Source organism: Homo sapiens, chromosome 11, assembly GCF_000001405.40.
Source record: "Homo sapiens chromosome 11, GRCh38.p14 Primary Assembly".
Classification (NCBI taxonomy): domain Eukaryota; kingdom Metazoa; phylum Chordata; class Mammalia; order Primates; family Hominidae; genus Homo; species Homo sapiens.
The window spans coordinates 7,511,552-7,526,730 of record NC_000011.10 but is presented as its reverse complement, the minus strand read 5'-3'; the positions used below and the strand labels follow the sequence as shown (position 1 = coordinate 7,526,730).

The 15,179-nt window shown below is 49.4% G+C and overlaps 2 protein-coding genes across 15 annotated transcripts in view, besides 9 other annotated features; one reads left to right on the top strand and one right to left on the bottom strand.

The window, feature by feature from the left end:
* PPFIBP2 (PPFIB scaffold protein 2) overlaps positions 1 to 12,732 on the bottom strand; it is a 153,306-nt gene extending 140,574 nt beyond the window's left edge. For all 14 annotated transcript variants that reach the window (NR_147792.2, XM_011520415.4, XM_047427751.1 and 11 more), the window contains exon 1: positions 12,610 to 12,732. The gene's annotated coding sequence lies outside the window, so the exon portion shown is untranslated. The remainder of the gene's footprint in view (positions 1 to 12,609) is intronic.
* LOC124902806 (leucine-rich repeat extensin-like protein 5) overlaps positions 1 to 15,179 on the top strand; it is a 30,521-nt gene that overhangs the window by 11,809 nt on the left and 3,533 nt on the right. The window contains exons 2-3 of the mRNA XM_047428005.1: positions 12,126 to 12,613; positions 12,691 to 14,608. Coding sequence (XP_047283961.1) covers positions 12,126 to 12,613; positions 12,691 to 13,521 — 1,319 coding nt within the window. The 3' untranslated portion in view covers positions 13,522 to 14,608. The remainder of the gene's footprint in view (positions 1 to 12,125; positions 12,614 to 12,690; positions 14,609 to 15,179) is intronic.
* Positions 4,947 to 5,147: a silencer, noted in NCBI's record as "peak1190 fragment used in MPRA reporter construct". NCBI's record gives its function as "represses an SCP1 promoter by STARR-seq MPRAs in K562 erythroleukemia cells {active_cell/tissue: K562}" and the evidence as "EXISTENCE:reporter gene assay evidence [ECO:0000049][PMID:32103011]".
* Positions 5,225 to 5,404: an enhancer, noted in NCBI's record as "active region_4371". NCBI's record gives its function as "activates an Ori minimal core promoter by ATAC-STARR-seq in GM12878 lymphoblastoid cells {active_cell/tissue: GM12878}" and the evidence as "EXISTENCE:reporter gene assay evidence [ECO:0000049][PMID:35858748]".
* Positions 5,475 to 5,524: an enhancer, noted in NCBI's record as "active region_4370". NCBI's record gives its function as "activates an Ori minimal core promoter by ATAC-STARR-seq in GM12878 lymphoblastoid cells {active_cell/tissue: GM12878}" and the evidence as "EXISTENCE:reporter gene assay evidence [ECO:0000049][PMID:35858748]".
* Positions 6,265 to 6,314: an enhancer, noted in NCBI's record as "active region_4369". NCBI's record gives its function as "activates an Ori minimal core promoter by ATAC-STARR-seq in GM12878 lymphoblastoid cells {active_cell/tissue: GM12878}" and the evidence as "EXISTENCE:reporter gene assay evidence [ECO:0000049][PMID:35858748]".
* Positions 6,345 to 6,454: an enhancer, noted in NCBI's record as "active region_4368". NCBI's record gives its function as "activates an Ori minimal core promoter by ATAC-STARR-seq in GM12878 lymphoblastoid cells {active_cell/tissue: GM12878}" and the evidence as "EXISTENCE:reporter gene assay evidence [ECO:0000049][PMID:35858748]".
* Positions 6,535 to 6,664: an enhancer, noted in NCBI's record as "active region_4367". NCBI's record gives its function as "activates an Ori minimal core promoter by ATAC-STARR-seq in GM12878 lymphoblastoid cells {active_cell/tissue: GM12878}" and the evidence as "EXISTENCE:reporter gene assay evidence [ECO:0000049][PMID:35858748]".
* Positions 10,102 to 10,151: an enhancer, noted in NCBI's record as "active region_4366". NCBI's record gives its function as "activates an Ori minimal core promoter by ATAC-STARR-seq in GM12878 lymphoblastoid cells {active_cell/tissue: GM12878}" and the evidence as "EXISTENCE:reporter gene assay evidence [ECO:0000049][PMID:35858748]".
* Positions 12,637 to 13,166: a silencer, noted in NCBI's record as "silent region_3110". NCBI's record gives its function as "represses an Ori minimal core promoter by ATAC-STARR-seq in GM12878 lymphoblastoid cells {active_cell/tissue: GM12878}" and the evidence as "EXISTENCE:reporter gene assay evidence [ECO:0000049][PMID:35858748]".
* Positions 13,837 to 13,956: an enhancer, noted in NCBI's record as "active region_4365". NCBI's record gives its function as "activates an Ori minimal core promoter by ATAC-STARR-seq in GM12878 lymphoblastoid cells {active_cell/tissue: GM12878}" and the evidence as "EXISTENCE:reporter gene assay evidence [ECO:0000049][PMID:35858748]".

The following is a 15,179-nucleotide window of genomic DNA, read 5'->3' as shown; positions in this document are numbered from 1 at the left end:
CCGGGCTAATTTTTTGTATTTTAGTAGAGATGGGGTTTCACCGTGTTAGCCAGGATGGTCTCAATCTCCTGACCTCGTGATCTGCCCACCCTCGGCCTCCCAAAGTGCTGGGATTACAGGCGTGAGCCACCGCACCCGGCCGCTTCTGCACAGCTTTAAGGCTGCTCTTTCCCCAGCCTCCCACCCTCACTCCAGCCTACATCTGCTGCAAGTCATTTCTGCTCAGAAGCCACCAATTATTCCCCACTACCGACAGGGTAAAGTCCAGCTTCTTAGTTTGGCATTCAAGTTCCTTTTCCCTTAGAGTCCCAACTTCTTTCTTTGACTTTTAATAATGGGAAGAGTCTAGCTAAGCTGGTTTCCTTATTATTTCTCGATCCCACTTCACTCACTTGGGCTTCTATGCCTTTTACTCACTTGACTGACCAGGGATCCCCAGAGAGCCTTTTCTTCCCAGCTCCCCAGGATCCCACCCCAGTTGGTTGATCCACAAAGCCTTCCCTTTGCCAAAATCTTACAGCACTTTAGTTAGATCTATAACCTTTCAGTATACCTTCCTCCCTGTTATTTCATAAACTCCTCTCTAGTCAATACTGCTTGAACAATACCCTTTGCAGGTAGACTCCAATATCTGCTCTAAAACAGCGGTTTGGCCCTAGAGACAAGCCTGAGTTCTTTAAAATTTCTTACATTATGTCAAAGTAGAATCTGCTCCGTCTTTAGTTTTCTTTGACATCACTACCATAGGCCTTCATCTCTGCCCTCTGAGCAACAAAGAACATGCTGCCCACCTTGCCCACCTGAAAATAGCAGTCATTCCCCTATATCTTCCTGACTGTCCTTGGGCCCCTCCAAAGCTTGTAAGACAGGGATACCGGCTTTGCACACTCCAGGTGTGGCCAGTCTCAGCCAATGCAGGGAAAAGATCCTCTACCAAGGTCTAAACCCAGGACTTCAATTAATGTAGCCAGGCTAAGCCAATGTATTGGGCTTTTCCACATAGATGGGTAGGACACTCACACAATTGATTTTCAGGGCCTAAGGGCAGGACTTTGCACTTAACCCTGCCACATCTCATCCAGCTGGTTTGGACTCTGCGCTGTTTGCTGCTTTTGTCCTGTACGTGGGTGACCAGCCACCTGATTCCGGGCTGTTCTCTACCTTGTCATGGACTTCTGCCTCCTGGAATTTCTGCTCACCGCCACCATGGTTGCCCTTTCTGTGTCATACCTGGAAGCCCAGAGCATGCAACTTCCCACCTGAAATTTCAGGATAAGCCCTCTGGATGATCTAAATATCTCTTGATAAATGATTTCTCTCAAGCTTCCTGAGACGGGAATAAAAGGATTTACTGACTACCTATGATGTGCCAAGCACTGGAGTCAACATTTCATCTCATTTAATTTTCACAACCACCAAATGAATTGGCCTATTATTGTTCCCATTAAACAGATGAGGAATGTAAAGCTCAAAGAGGTACGGAGCAATAGCGAATTGGTGTAGAGCTATTTTAATCGAGGACTGTCTGATTCAAACCCTCCACTCTAGAGCTACCAGGGCCCACAGGAGTTAGGGAGGCCAAGTCCTCATGCTGGAGAAAACCTCCTGCCTGCCATGATAGAATGAGGGGGCAGGACAGGCAAGAGGAGTCAGCTTCCTCATTTCCACAAGCAGAACAATAATCCCTGCCCGGGGCATTGTGCCGCACCAGTGAGCAGGCACAGTGAAAACCCAGACAGACACACAAGGCTGTTGTTGTTACCAGGTGAGCACATGCATCCAAGAACCAGATGTCTTGGCTGGTTGGTCGCAGGAAGAGCTTATGTAATGAAACTTTTTCATGACATCCAGTCAAGGTCAGGTGTCAGAGTCAAGAACTATTCCTCTGCCTTGGTGAAATGTTGAATTAGAAGAATCTGCTATTCCTATCCCAAATCGATCTCCACCCCCTCAGGCCAATCCACTCTCCCACCCCACCCCTTCCCTTTTCTGCCCCCATTGCTCATAGAATTTGGAGTTTTGAACACTGAATTTGAAACCACACATCCCAATGTGCCTGATCCTGATCTTCCCCAGTCCCCACCCAGTTTAGCATTTATGTGCCTACTTTCACTTTCAAAAGTGTTCAGTTCGGACAATAAATTACATTAAATCTAATACTCTGGAACCTTCAAAAGTGTCTTTACTTCTCTGGCACCTGTTTCCCATAAAATGGGAATAACACTACCCTGACCTCATGAAACAAGCCATTTGTCAAATCCACCAAAGTTGGAAGTTCTGCTCTATCCTTTCCTGTGGAAGAAACTTTCTGTGGGGCCAGTCTACACCTCCACTGCCTCCATGAAGCAGTCCAGCATTGAGCTAGTTATTTGTGTAAAAACCTCTTTGATTTGGAGGGAACATGGACTTGTGTGTTGGGAGAAGGAAACTGTTGCCCCTGAAGATAGAGGCTTTCTTGCCTAAGCAGGCAAGAAAGAGGTAACCCATTTTTGATCTTCCTAAGCTTGAGCTGTGGCTCTACCCCCTCTCTGTCCCCCTTGTCCCTATTACAAACCTCTTGATTCCTACACAACTCTCTCTCTCTCTCTCACACACACACACGCACAGACACACACAGACACACACACAGAGTTGTCAACCAAGTAGTTCCTTTTGGCAGAGTTCTCTGAACCTTTCGCCAGAAGCAACTTGGAGAAGTTTGCTAAGAAGGCCTCTTGGGATAATCAGTGCAGTCACAGGAGTGGCCCTCCAGGTCAGAGTGAGAGGCCCAGCTGCATGTGATGGCTGCATTTCAACCATGCACACAAGTTACTGTGGAAGTGTAACTTTACCCTGGAGGGCAGGGACAAGAGTATCCCCACTAAACACACCTCACTGGCATCCCTAAGCAGGCAGAGAAATCCTGAGATCTGGATCACCTCCTTCCCTATTCCCAGGAGGAAAGAGACATACCTGAAGCAGAGCCACCTGGGAACACCACAGCGACCATAAGCCTGGGAAGAGGCAATGTAGGATCTAGTCCCCATAGCCTCCCTTGAGCTAACAAATCCCTTCCTGGAGATGCATTAGTGGTTCCTCCACCCACCTACTTCCTAAGAAATGGGAAGTGCAAATCTACGTCTGTAATCTGTGCAATTTGTGGCTGTCCCTGACACTTTACCATGGGTGAGCAGGCTCGTGCACATATTTTGGCCTTAATATGAAAAACAGAAACAAAAAACCTTCAGAACAAGATGAGGTATAAACTGGCAAGACCCCACTACAAAGCTCAAAAGAGAAAGGGAAGTTTGACAAGTTTTCCTTCAACGTTGGCTCCCAGTATTCTTTGTGTATATGTTTTTATTTGGCAACTACCACAACTCAGACAATAATTCAAATGTTTCACATTCATAAACCTGGCTCTTCCTCAAGAAACAGAAGTGACCACTGTGTCAGCGTCCATGACAAAGACAAGACTCCATCCTGGGAGGCTGGAGGCTGAGGAGCCTGGCTGGGCAAAGGTGTGTGGAAGGGAGGGGTGAGGAGGATTGAAGAACTCCAGCCTCAGGGCCACTGAGTCTCCCGACAGCAGTGCAGATTCCAGATAAGATCCTCACTCCTCATCGGACAGCTGTAGCCCTCATCCAGCCATCTGAGTCCCCGATCCTGACTCTACACCGGACCCTGCTTGGATGAGGTCCTCATGGCTGGTTGCCTTCCCTAGCTAGCTGTTCCCTGTACCCCCATCCCCACTCCAACACTATAAGAGGCAACTTCTCATGAACTGGCTGGATGTGCCCTGAAGTCTGGGTAGAGGAGGTGTTTGGGCCTTGGAATACAACTTCCCATGGAATTGATAAATTGATTGGTGGTTACATTCCCAGAAGAAAATTAATACACGTGCCCACATTGAGCATAATAAGTATAAGAGCGCTGATACCCTAAAAGTACTTCATATCTCCCATCAGCCCCACATACAGCTAGGCCACAGGGCAAAAAGGAGGCCTCATGAGCCTTCGGGCCCCCATGGCATTGGCAACTAGCAGACATTTCCCATCTGGGTGCTTGACCTATAAGACTCCAGCCTTAGCTGTTCTGCAGGCTGAATTCACCCCAAACCTGGTCTCATTCCCATTTTTCATTGCCTAATGGAATCTCCATCTCGACCTTCTGGCAGCTCTCCTCTGGCTAAACTCATGTGCTACAGAAGATAGAAGCCCAGGCCATAATGCCAGTAGACCTGGGTTCTACAATCAAGAGCTAAGTGATCTTGGGTAGGTTTCTCTGGGCTTCACCATCCTCTTATGGGTAAACATATAAAGGGCAAGCAAGAAACTACCCGAGGCTCCCTTCTGATTCCAAAAGAATCAACCACTTTCATTTCCCTTCCCCCTTCCACTAAGTTCCTCCATGCTTTCATGCTACTAACAGTTGCCTCATTCTTCTCCCAGCAAACTAACACACGTCAGTATCCAGTTTGACGCTTTTCTCTTTCCCTCAAATACAATCAGTCACCAAATCCTGCCGGATTTCTTGGCATGGTCACTTGCCTCTGCTCCCTTCTCTCTATTCCTACTGCCATTGCCTTGATTTAGGTCCTGAGCTACCTCAGTGGGTTATTCTAACAGCCTGTGCTCATAAGAAGTTCCTCCCTGTCCCTCCAACCTGCCCTTCCCAGCCACAATCATCCTGAACAGTTTTACCACGTCTTTTCCATACTTGAGTATGGAAACTTTAATGTCATCAGAATAAAATTTAAATTATATAGCTCCAACTTTCAAGGCCTTCCATGATCTCTTCCCAGCCTGGGACTCCATCTTCACCTCTCCCAGTGTCCACCCAACCCCCTGACTCTAGCCATATGGGCCCACTCTTCACTGGGCCTGTCCTTCCTCCCAGTCTTTCAGCTTCTGCTCCTCTTCCTTCTCTCGTCTACCATACGAAATAACCAGCCCCTTTCCCTCTTTACTGAGGTAAACATTGCAAAGCCAGCCAGCTTAAGGCCCATATCTACCACAGACTCCTCCTGGACATCTGCTAAGTGTGGGGCCACGCACAAGAGCTGATACAGCCCTAAAGCAGCTCAGAGTTTGGAGGAATATGGACAGAGACATAGACATAAAGTGATGAAATAGCATAGCAGATCTTTGTTTGATGTGATATGTATGTAACAGAAGAGTAAAAACGACTTAGGGGCAAGGGAGCTTTAAGAATTTGATCTATATCCTGAAGGATTAATAATCTTGCAGAATAGAGACAAAAGGGCTTTCCAGGAAGATAAAATAGTGTATGCAAATGCAGATAGGCACAAAAGAATAGAAATTACTCAGCTTCTCAGTTTGGGGAACAGTGGAGAGGCAGCTGGAGAGCTAAAGTAGGGCCCACCACTGTAGAGATTTGAATGCCATACAAGGATGGTGTATTTTATCCTATCAGAGAGACAGTCCTATTCCTTCTGTGTCTAGGCCTCCCATCTACAGGTATGTTAGGGATCATGATTACTATGCAACATAGAACAGGGTGATTAAAAGCATCAAGCACAATGAATGCTCAGCTTTCAGTGTGCATAAATGTGTACATATGAACATGACAGAGAGAGGAAGTGAAAGTAAGAATAACCAGGGAGAACCAAGCCAACGACCTTAAGGCAAACAGAAATCATACATTTGCTGAAGACAAAGCTCGGAGTCAGCAGTCCCCTGGAACTTGAGGCACTAAGGAGATCTGGGCCTAAAGCTAAACAGATTATTCTAGGACAGCCTCTTTTAGAGGCTTATTTACCAGATGAGTGAGAGATAAGAATGAAGCTTGTGAAGATCCACAGTCAAACAAGACTTGGCTTTAAGGGTGTATAAAGGATAAAGCCCACCTTTCCTAGAACTACATAGATTCCATGAAGACAGAGACACATAGGTGCCATCAAGCATTGGAACCAAAAAATGATACTAAGAAACATAAAGTCCAAGGGAGGTGGAGCTCCTCTGAAGAAGAAGGACGCAGGGAAAATAGTGACTCAGGAATAAACAAAGCTGCCAAAAGTTTCAGCCTAGTTGTGCCCACACCAAATGGGGACTGAATGTCACATCTTGAATGGGGATGAACAGGCTGTAGAATGGAACAAGTGTTATCAGTTGTGTTTATATTAGTGCTTCCTTCTTATATTTTGCATTAGGATATCCACCAGAGGATTTCAAACACGACAGCATCATGAACAGATTTGCATTTCAGGAAAAAAAAAAAAAAAATCTTATGGCCAAGTAAAAAACCACTTCTAAACTGAAAAATTCTCCCTGGGGTCTGAAAGGTTGAAGAGATGAGTAACTCCTCTCTTCTCAGGCCCAGTCCCAAGGTGCAAGGCCAGTTGTGCTAGCAGCGTGCGTCGGCAAAACAGCAAAAGCAGGAAAAGAGCCAGCCGGAAAATACCCACCCCAACCGGAAGACACGTACCCCCTGAAAACCAAAAGGGAGGCCGTCTGGGTACCACGTAGCAGCTACCTCAAACTGAGACACTTCTTGTTTACAGGAGACTGTAAAACCCCTGCCCTGTCCTCATTTGGTGCTGATGCCATTTTAGGCCTCAGCCTGCCTGCACCCAGGCGCTCATTAAAACAGCATGTTGCGCCATACCGCCTCGTGTTGTCTGTTGGAGCGCTCTCAGGGTTTGAACCAATACAAGAACTTTTCATCTGGTGCCGAAACCTGGGAGAGGCTCGGGTCTGTGTCCCCCGTGGACCTACCCCTCTATGCTGGAAAGCAGGCCACAGCAGCTGGACAAAGGAAGCTCCTTAGCCTCCAGTCGCCTCTCTGTGCATGCAGATCAGTCACTGATCTCACCTACTGGTAAGCTTCCCCGGGAACCTGGTTAACAGGGAAAAACGTGCTCGGCCTCTTTTGGTTTCTCTGGTCCGAAAATCCAACGTTGGTCCAAAAAGGCTCCAGCGTGTGCCAGGCACTCGCTGATCATCTGGTCTTAGGGGGACACCTCTAAGCCATTTGATCCCGTTCCAGGAATGAAAAAGGCAGTGGTGACGATCGCTCCTTTTATCGTCTCCGTCCGGCTGTCCAGGACTGTCTCCTTTTTCCCTGTTCTCCTGTGCCTACCCTTCATTATGGGAAACTCCCGGCCCTCCATTCTAAAAAACAGCCCTCTAGGCTGCCTCATAAAAAACCTGCAAACCTTAGGCCTCAGGCAAGATATCCGCCCTAAGCGCCTTTTCTTTTTTTGCAATTCAGTCTGGCCACAGTACAAATTAGATAACGGTCCAAATGGCCGGCAAATGAAACATTCGACTTTACAGTTTTAACTGATTTAAGCAAGTATTGCCAACGACCGAAGAAATAGGAAGAAATTCCTTATTTCCAGGCCTTTTGGCACTCAGATCACAACCCGACCTCTGCAATTCTTGCTCACCTGTTCAAATCCTTCTCCTCCATTCTCGCAGCCCTGATCGCCTTTCTCCTCCCGACCATACCTCTTTTTCCCCGTTAGATCCAGCAGACTGCTGTCCATTCCTCCCAGACTCTACCTCTCCCTCTCAACCATCTTCTTTAACCCCGCAAGCCTCCTCTTTATCTTCTCAGCCGCAATCTTCTCAGCTGCCATCTTCCCAGTCGCCATCTTCTCAGCTGCCATCTTCCCAGCCACCATCTTCCCAGTCAGCAGTACCCACTTCTTTTCCTACACTGTCCTCTCCTGAGGACAACTCTAGCACTGCCTGTACTCATTCTCCTTCCTCACTGCCCTCTCCTGAAGCCTGTAAACCCATCCCGCCACCTTACGCCCCTATCTGTCCTCCACTGCTTATCAACTCAAACCCCCTTTCCCCTTCAAACCCTCAGCAGGAACGACTTCTGACTTCTTCCTTCTCTCCCGCCCATACTCGCTCGAGCGCCATCTTTGGCTCATGCCCCACCCTCACTTCAGCGCCAGTGCTAGAGTGTCCCCTTTGGGAAGTAGCAAGAGCTGAAGGTATTGTTAAGAGTTCATGTTCCCTTCTCCCTCACTGATCTCTCTCAAATTAACAAAAGACTCGGTTCATTTCCAGACGACCCTACCTCTTATATCAGGGAGTTTCAGTACCTTACCCAGTCTTATGAACTAACTTGGCATGACCTCTACGTTATCCCCTCTTCCACCCTCACCCCAGAAGACCAGGACTGTGTCTGGACCCTAGCTCAGGTGCATGCTGACACAATTCATCAACAAGCTCCTGCCAAGCCTACTGGTGCAGAGGCAGTCCCCAACCAGGACTCCCACTGAGATTATCAAGACAGGGCCTCTAGATGCTGCCATCGAGACCACACGATTATGTGTTTCCTTGCAGAACTCAAAAAGGGTGCCCATAAAGTGGTAAACTATGAAAAACTTCCAGAAATCACCCAAAGTCCTGACAAAAACCCAGCCCTTTTTCTCTCTCATGTAACTGAAGCCATGAGAAAATATACCAACCTAGACCCAGCCAACCCAGAAGGAACCACTATCTTAAACCTTCGGTTCATCTCCCAATCCATTCCCGATATTCGGTGCAAGCTTCAGAAGCTTGACGACGGCCCTCAAACCCCACAACAAGACCTTCTTAATTTAGCCTTCAAAGTCTTTAACAATCATGATGAGGAAAGTAAAAGGCAAAAACAGGCAGAGTTTCAAATGCCTGCCTCCGCCATCAGGGGCCCTGCAGGCCCACGGGGCCACAGCTCCACACAGAAGCCTCCTAGCAATCCACCTCCACCTGGCGCCTGTTTCAAGTACGGCAATGAAAGCCACTGGTCCAGACAATGCCCATACCCAGGTAAGCCCACCAGGCCGTGCCCCCTCTGCGGAGGACCCCACTGGAAGTCGGACTATGAGCGGCCCCTGCAGGGACCGCCCCCCATCCCTTCCTGAGCAGGCCAAAACCTCCTACTCGGATCTCATTTGCCTTGCCGCTGAAGACTGATGGTGCCCTGGAATGGATGCCCCGGCAACTACCATCACTTCATCCGAGCCAAGGGTAACCCTGATGGTTTTAATCAACATGGGTGACCTACTCTGCTTTACCTAATTTTTCAGGACCCACCCAGTCCTCCTAAGTCTCTGTTGTGGGAATTGATGGACAAGTCTCCTAACCCCGAGCCACCCCTCCACTTTTCTGCTTCCTGCACACCTTTTCCTTCACTCACTTTTTCACCCCAAACCTGGTCTCATTCCCAACTCTGCTCCTAGGCAGGGACATCCTTTCAAAACTCCACACTACTCTCCACTTCCACATTCCCCGTAGTACCCAACGCATCAACCCAGACCCCTCCGAGGCTTCTAGCTTTCTTCTGCTCCTCCAACCTCCCACCCTAAAACATGCAACCTTTCCTTACCCCTATCTGTAGTTAACCCCGCTGTTAGGGATATTTCCACACCCTCAGTTGCAAAACACCACACCCCTGTCCACATTACCCTTAAAGACCCCACACTATTGAAGCCAATCTGCTCCTCCCAGGCACCACCTCCCAAAAAGCTGAACTCATCACCCTCACTCGAGCTCTCACTCTAGCAGCCGGACAACAGTTCTCTAATTTAGGAGGATTTAAAACCCTGGTAGGGACAGTAATCTTCATCACTTTTTCTCCCCTGTGTTATCCCACTAATAATAAAAGCCACTAAAACTCTTATTGAAACTACAGTTAGCCACCAGACAATTCAGACTATGCTCCTGCTACAACGACACGATGGATACCAACACATCTCTCAAGAATACCCTAAAAATTAAGTTTTTCTTTTTCCAAGGAGCCCACACCACCCCTAAGTCACGCCTGAAGTAGTTATTGAGAAAGTCACCCCTTTTCCCTTTTTACTATAACCAAATAGACAGGAATGAAAGATTCTCCCCGGGGTCTGAAAGCTTGAAGAGATGAGTAACTCCTCCCTTCTCAGGCCCAGTCCCAAGGTGCAAGGCCAGTTGCGCCAGCAGTGTGCATCAGCAAGACAGCAGAAGCAGGAAGACAGCCGGCCAGAAGACACCTACCCTGGCTGGAAGACACGTACCCCTTGAAGACAGAGAGAGGGGCCGTCTGGGTACTGTGCAGAAGTTACATCAGACTGAGACACTTCTTGTTTACAGGAAACTATAAAACCCCTGCCTCGTCCTCACTTGGTGCTGACGCCATTTTAGGCCTCAGCCCACCTGCACCCAGGCGCTCGTTAAAACAGCACGTTGCCCCACACCGCCTCATGTTGTCTGTTGGCAGGCTCTCGGGGTTCGAACCAATACAAGAACCTTTCATAAACTTTACCTTAAACATTACAGTCTAAAGGCCATACCATTCCTCAGGCCCAAAGCTGAATCTTCCCAGCATTGTTTCTCCCTCCTCACTTCTCATTGCATCTAATCAGTCTAGAGACTGTCCCATTCCCTAGTCCTCTGTCCTACAGATTCTATCTCTCCGAAGTCTCCCTACCTGTCCCCACCTCATCACTCTCTCAGGCCCAAAATAAGGCCTCATCCCTTTGACCCTGGATCAGCCTCCCGGTTTCCTATCCGGCCTCGCCGCCCCCACTGTCTTTTTCCCTTGGAGTTTGCTTCCCACCACACTCCCAGAACTTTGCCATTGCAGCAGTTGCCTTCGGGTTTGTCAACAGAATCACCTGGGGGAACTTGGTAAAAACATCCCAGACTACTTAATCTGAACGTTTTACAAAACTCCCCAGGCGATTATGAGGCATAGCCAGGTTTGCAAACTGCTACTCTAAATCCTTGCTACACATAGGGAAATGATCAGCAAGCTCCTGGGAATCTGTTAGAAACACAGAATGTCAAGTCCCACCCCTGACCTATGGAATCATAATTTGCATTTGAACAAGATCCCCACAGGATTCTCAACTTTGAGAAGCTCTGCTCTACAGTGTTGTCAGACCATGCACTCCACAAATATTTACTGGATTTTCTCTGTATCAGGCTAGGAATTGGGAGGGTCAAGGACCAAGGTCTTTGACTTTGAGAAGTTCACAGAACCATCAGTCAGTCCCCTGCTGTGCCTTCAGACCAAGTCCAGACTTCTGTACTGGACAGCTGGGACTATTTTCCAGCCTTGTCACCAGCTTTCCTGACTAGCACTTGACATAAGAGCCAAGCTGGACCACTGGCCACTTCTCATGGTGAGTCCATGCCTGCCTGCCCACACAGTTGTCACAGCCCAGGCCACACTCTACCCTTCTCTGCCTCAAAAACCCCAGGAGGGATCCTTTGAGGTCCATCACATCACCCTTTCTTAAAATTATCCCAGATTTCCCTGCTCAGATGAAAGACAGGAATTCCCATAACTTTGTTCCTACCGCCTTCATGTCATTGATCTCATTCCACTTACTCTTTTAAAGTCAAAGCGCATCTCCCTTAGCTACCCAGTAAAGAAGGCATCATGGTAAGCAGCTTATCTCTCCAGTAGCAATAAGCTAACAACTGTCACATCACCAAATCTTAAAATAGTATTACTAATAATTGAAATATGTTAAATAAAACATGGATAAATGCAATCAGTGAAAACCTCATCAATCATCCCCATCTCCCACTTCAAATTTATTTAGCTATGAATTTAAGCAAAGTACAAATGGGTTGCCTCTCTTAAGCCAAAGAGAAATAATTTCTAAATTAGATAACACTTACAGCTTTCCATACACCTATAATAATGAAAGACTGAATATGCTGAAGATGAATTATGTCGAAAACCAACTACTTTTCTGTAGTTGACCATTTAACTTCACATAATACACTACAAATTTGAAAACACTTCAGATTTGTATTACAATCAATTAAGGAGGGGTTGAGAAAGGAGAGAGACGAAGAGAAAGACAGGAAGTAGACCAAAATATAGAAAAGGGACACGGATCTATACCAAATATCTGGCTGCTCTAAAAGTAAAAATATAATTAGATTCGTTTTTTAAGAAGATTAAACACTGGCAAGAATGCCTGTCTTAATCCTATCCAAACGCTGGAAGTTCTGTTCTCTTGTTACATAATCTTATTTTCATCCGAGGAAAAACTGCGGGTCTGGAATCTGATGTGATGAGGTGAGGAGGGAGCCCACTTTTAAATAGGACCGTCCCCATCCTGCAGTCTACTGGGACGCGGCGGCTTTAGATTTTAAAAAGTGTGCTGTATTTTTGCACTTACACTACAGAACTGGCTTTAGCCGAGGCCCTGCATCTAGACACACGCTGTGTCCACCAGAGAATTGCCTGGGCTGACAGACCTAAAGCTTCCGCAACCTCCTTAGGCTCCCTAGTCCACGCCGCTGCTCCCCGGGCTGAGCAGGGCTGGGACGCGCCGCACAGAACTCAGGGACCCCACCTCCCTGCGCATCTCCAGGGCCACGCTGGCACCTGCAGGAGTGCGGACTGTCCGCGGATCCCAGGCAGGGTTGGGTGGAGATTCGCAGCCAACCCACAGGAGTTCTGCCCTCCTCCCAGGCTTCTGGCCAGTGGAGTTGGAGAAGGGTCCCCGTCCTCGAGCCTGGGACACGCTCCGGGGCTCACAGAGACACTGACCCACACGTCCCCGTGGTTCGTAGCTCTGGGGGCGCTCCACTCCCTAGGTAATGCTCCCGACGGGGATCCCAACCCCGACCGCGCGGCAAGCCCGGGGTGTGGGGAGAGCCCACTGACCTGGGTACGGGGCCGAGGCTCCTCTCCGGGCGGCTCAGGTGTGCGGGCCGCTCCCGTGTCCCTCCCACCTTCAAACATGAGAGCCCAGAAGCGAGCGACGGGCCACTGGCCCACCGACCAACTGCCGGACCAAGCGCCCGACCAACCAGCGGACCGACCGCAGCGGCCGGGGCCGGCGCCCACGTGACGGGGCGGGGACCTGCGGAAGGCTCTTCCCGGAGCGCCGCGCCCCCACCCCGGGACCTGCCACAGGGACCACCCCCTTGGGCACCCGCTCCCTCTCGGGCACCGAAGAAGCCTGCTGGGACCCGTCCACCAGGGTTCCTGTTCCCGGGGGACCGGCCTGGTCAGCCCCGCCCCTTCGAACCTGCCTCGTCCCCACCCCCTGGGCCGCGCGTCCGGGCCCCAGCCCCGCCTCTCTCGGCGGACCGCGCCCCCTTCCGGGAGCCCCGCCCCGTTCGCCGCGCCTCCTCCTCCGCACAGCTCCGGTTGCGGGGAGGCCCGGGTGGGTACCCGGCGCTCCGGCTCCCAGTCTCCTGGGCTTCTCCAGTCCTTCAGCGCCGTTCTCCGGTCACAGGGAATGAAAGCGAGGAAGAAGGAAACGGTGTCGAGAATTGCGAAGAGAGAAAGCATAGAAAACCCACATTAGAGGCACTCCCAGAGCAGAAACCCTTCGGAGCATCCCGACTTCCTCGGCCCGCGTGCAATCCAGGCAAAATTGAGGTTGTCTCTGAGCCGCCCTCCCTAAGCAGGTCGGAAAGCCCCCGAATCATCCCAGGTCCCGCCGCGCTGCACTCGCAACCTGGGGTGGAGGTCCCTCTAGTGGTTGGCACCAAACAAAAGTTCTGTCTTATGAAGAGCCGAGGTCAGGAAGCATTTCCCTGTGCCCAGCGCCAAGGTCTGGGACCTTAGGTCCAAGAAAAGCGTTGGCAATGTCTGACCACAGGAATGGGTTCTCGAACTGGGGAGGACTGAAGCTGGAGATCTGGTCCAGCCCCTACCTCCAGCGTGTGGCCTGAACCCGTTTTGGTTGTACTGCTATGTTGTGGCCCTGCCCAGGCCTCCAAGGACTGGCTGCTGTTAAGCTGTTTAAAATCCCTGTAGGCCTCAGATGGCAGCGACACCAGGGACTCGGCATAGTCCCCAGCTCTGGCAGGAGTCACCACAGCCCTAGCCTTTAGTTCTCTACAGGCTGGAGTGTCGACAAACTCCACAGGACACAACTTTTTCAAACCAAATTTACCCTCGCGGTCTGAAATGACCAGTAGGCCCAGGAGAATTTTACATGTGAACAGAACCTAACCCACCCTGGCAAATATGAGACGTGTGGTCACTGCGGGAACCTGGCCAGCAGCAGACCAAAGCACAGCCAGCAGGGGAAGGCTGGGGCCCGCAAGAGTTGTGTTACAACAGGACACCCTTCAGTTCTCTTTCACTTCCTTAAAATAGCAGCAGAGCGACTTTTGTAGACGCAGGCTGCCACAGTTCACACAAGGTCATGGCTGTTTCCGAATCCCACCCTTTATTGCCCTAGCGGAGCCACTCCCCTTACCTCCGCCCCCAGAAACTGCTAGCCTGTTCTTAAATTGATACAGTTACCTTTTTAAATGTTCTAAGTCACCGGCTCTGGAGCTTCTTTGCACTTTGGAACCAACTTGCGGGAAGGAACTTTAAAAATACTGATATCTCGATCCATCCCCAGAGGTTCTGATTTAATGGTCTTGGGGATATGGCCACGGCATGAGGACTGTTAAAACTCCGCAGGTGATTCTTATGTGCAACAAAGTTTAAGAACCACTGATGTAGGCCATGTCGATGTCAGTCTTCACTTAAATCCAACAAGACCCCAGAGCTAAAACGTTCACCTGAAAGAAACCCCATTCCCAGGCCTGCATACTGACCTGCGCTGGCTCACAAGAAGCAAAGTGGTCCCTTAACAGGGGCTTCCTGGAGAAAATGTCTTGACCTAAAAGAGTGATTCGAGCTGCAGGGATTTAAGGTAGGTACCAAGGTGAGTTGTTTGGGGCAGATGTGCCCTGCAGAGCTGTCAATCAAATCATATCCCAGGTGGAATCTAGACAGCACATTTCAGGCAACCTCCCCTCTGTGCCTCCAAAGGAACTATGGTTGCAGGACTCACTCCTATTGATAAATCTACCCCACTATCCTCTGTGAGGCAGCCCACATTCCTTCTATCTGTGAAATAGGTAGGTAATAGGGCAGGTAATATCACATTTATTTATTCATACCTGTCTCATTCCACAAAGGATTTGGCCTCTCTGTACCATTCTGTTAGAACTGTGGGTAATTACACTGTATCCATGGGTTGAGTAATTCCCTTCTGCCAAATATCTACTCAAATGCTATGGAAAAAAACATTTTCTCTTCACTGCCTATGGTCCCAGCCTGGGCTTGGCAAAGACAGGAAAACAGCTGCAAGCACACAAAGCAAACCTTCTCATGTGACCAACCTGGAAAGACAGAGGCTTCAGCACGTGACACAGACTGGCACCACAGCCTGCACTTGTGACTCGAACTTAGCTGAATTGGACAAACACGTGGGAAACACT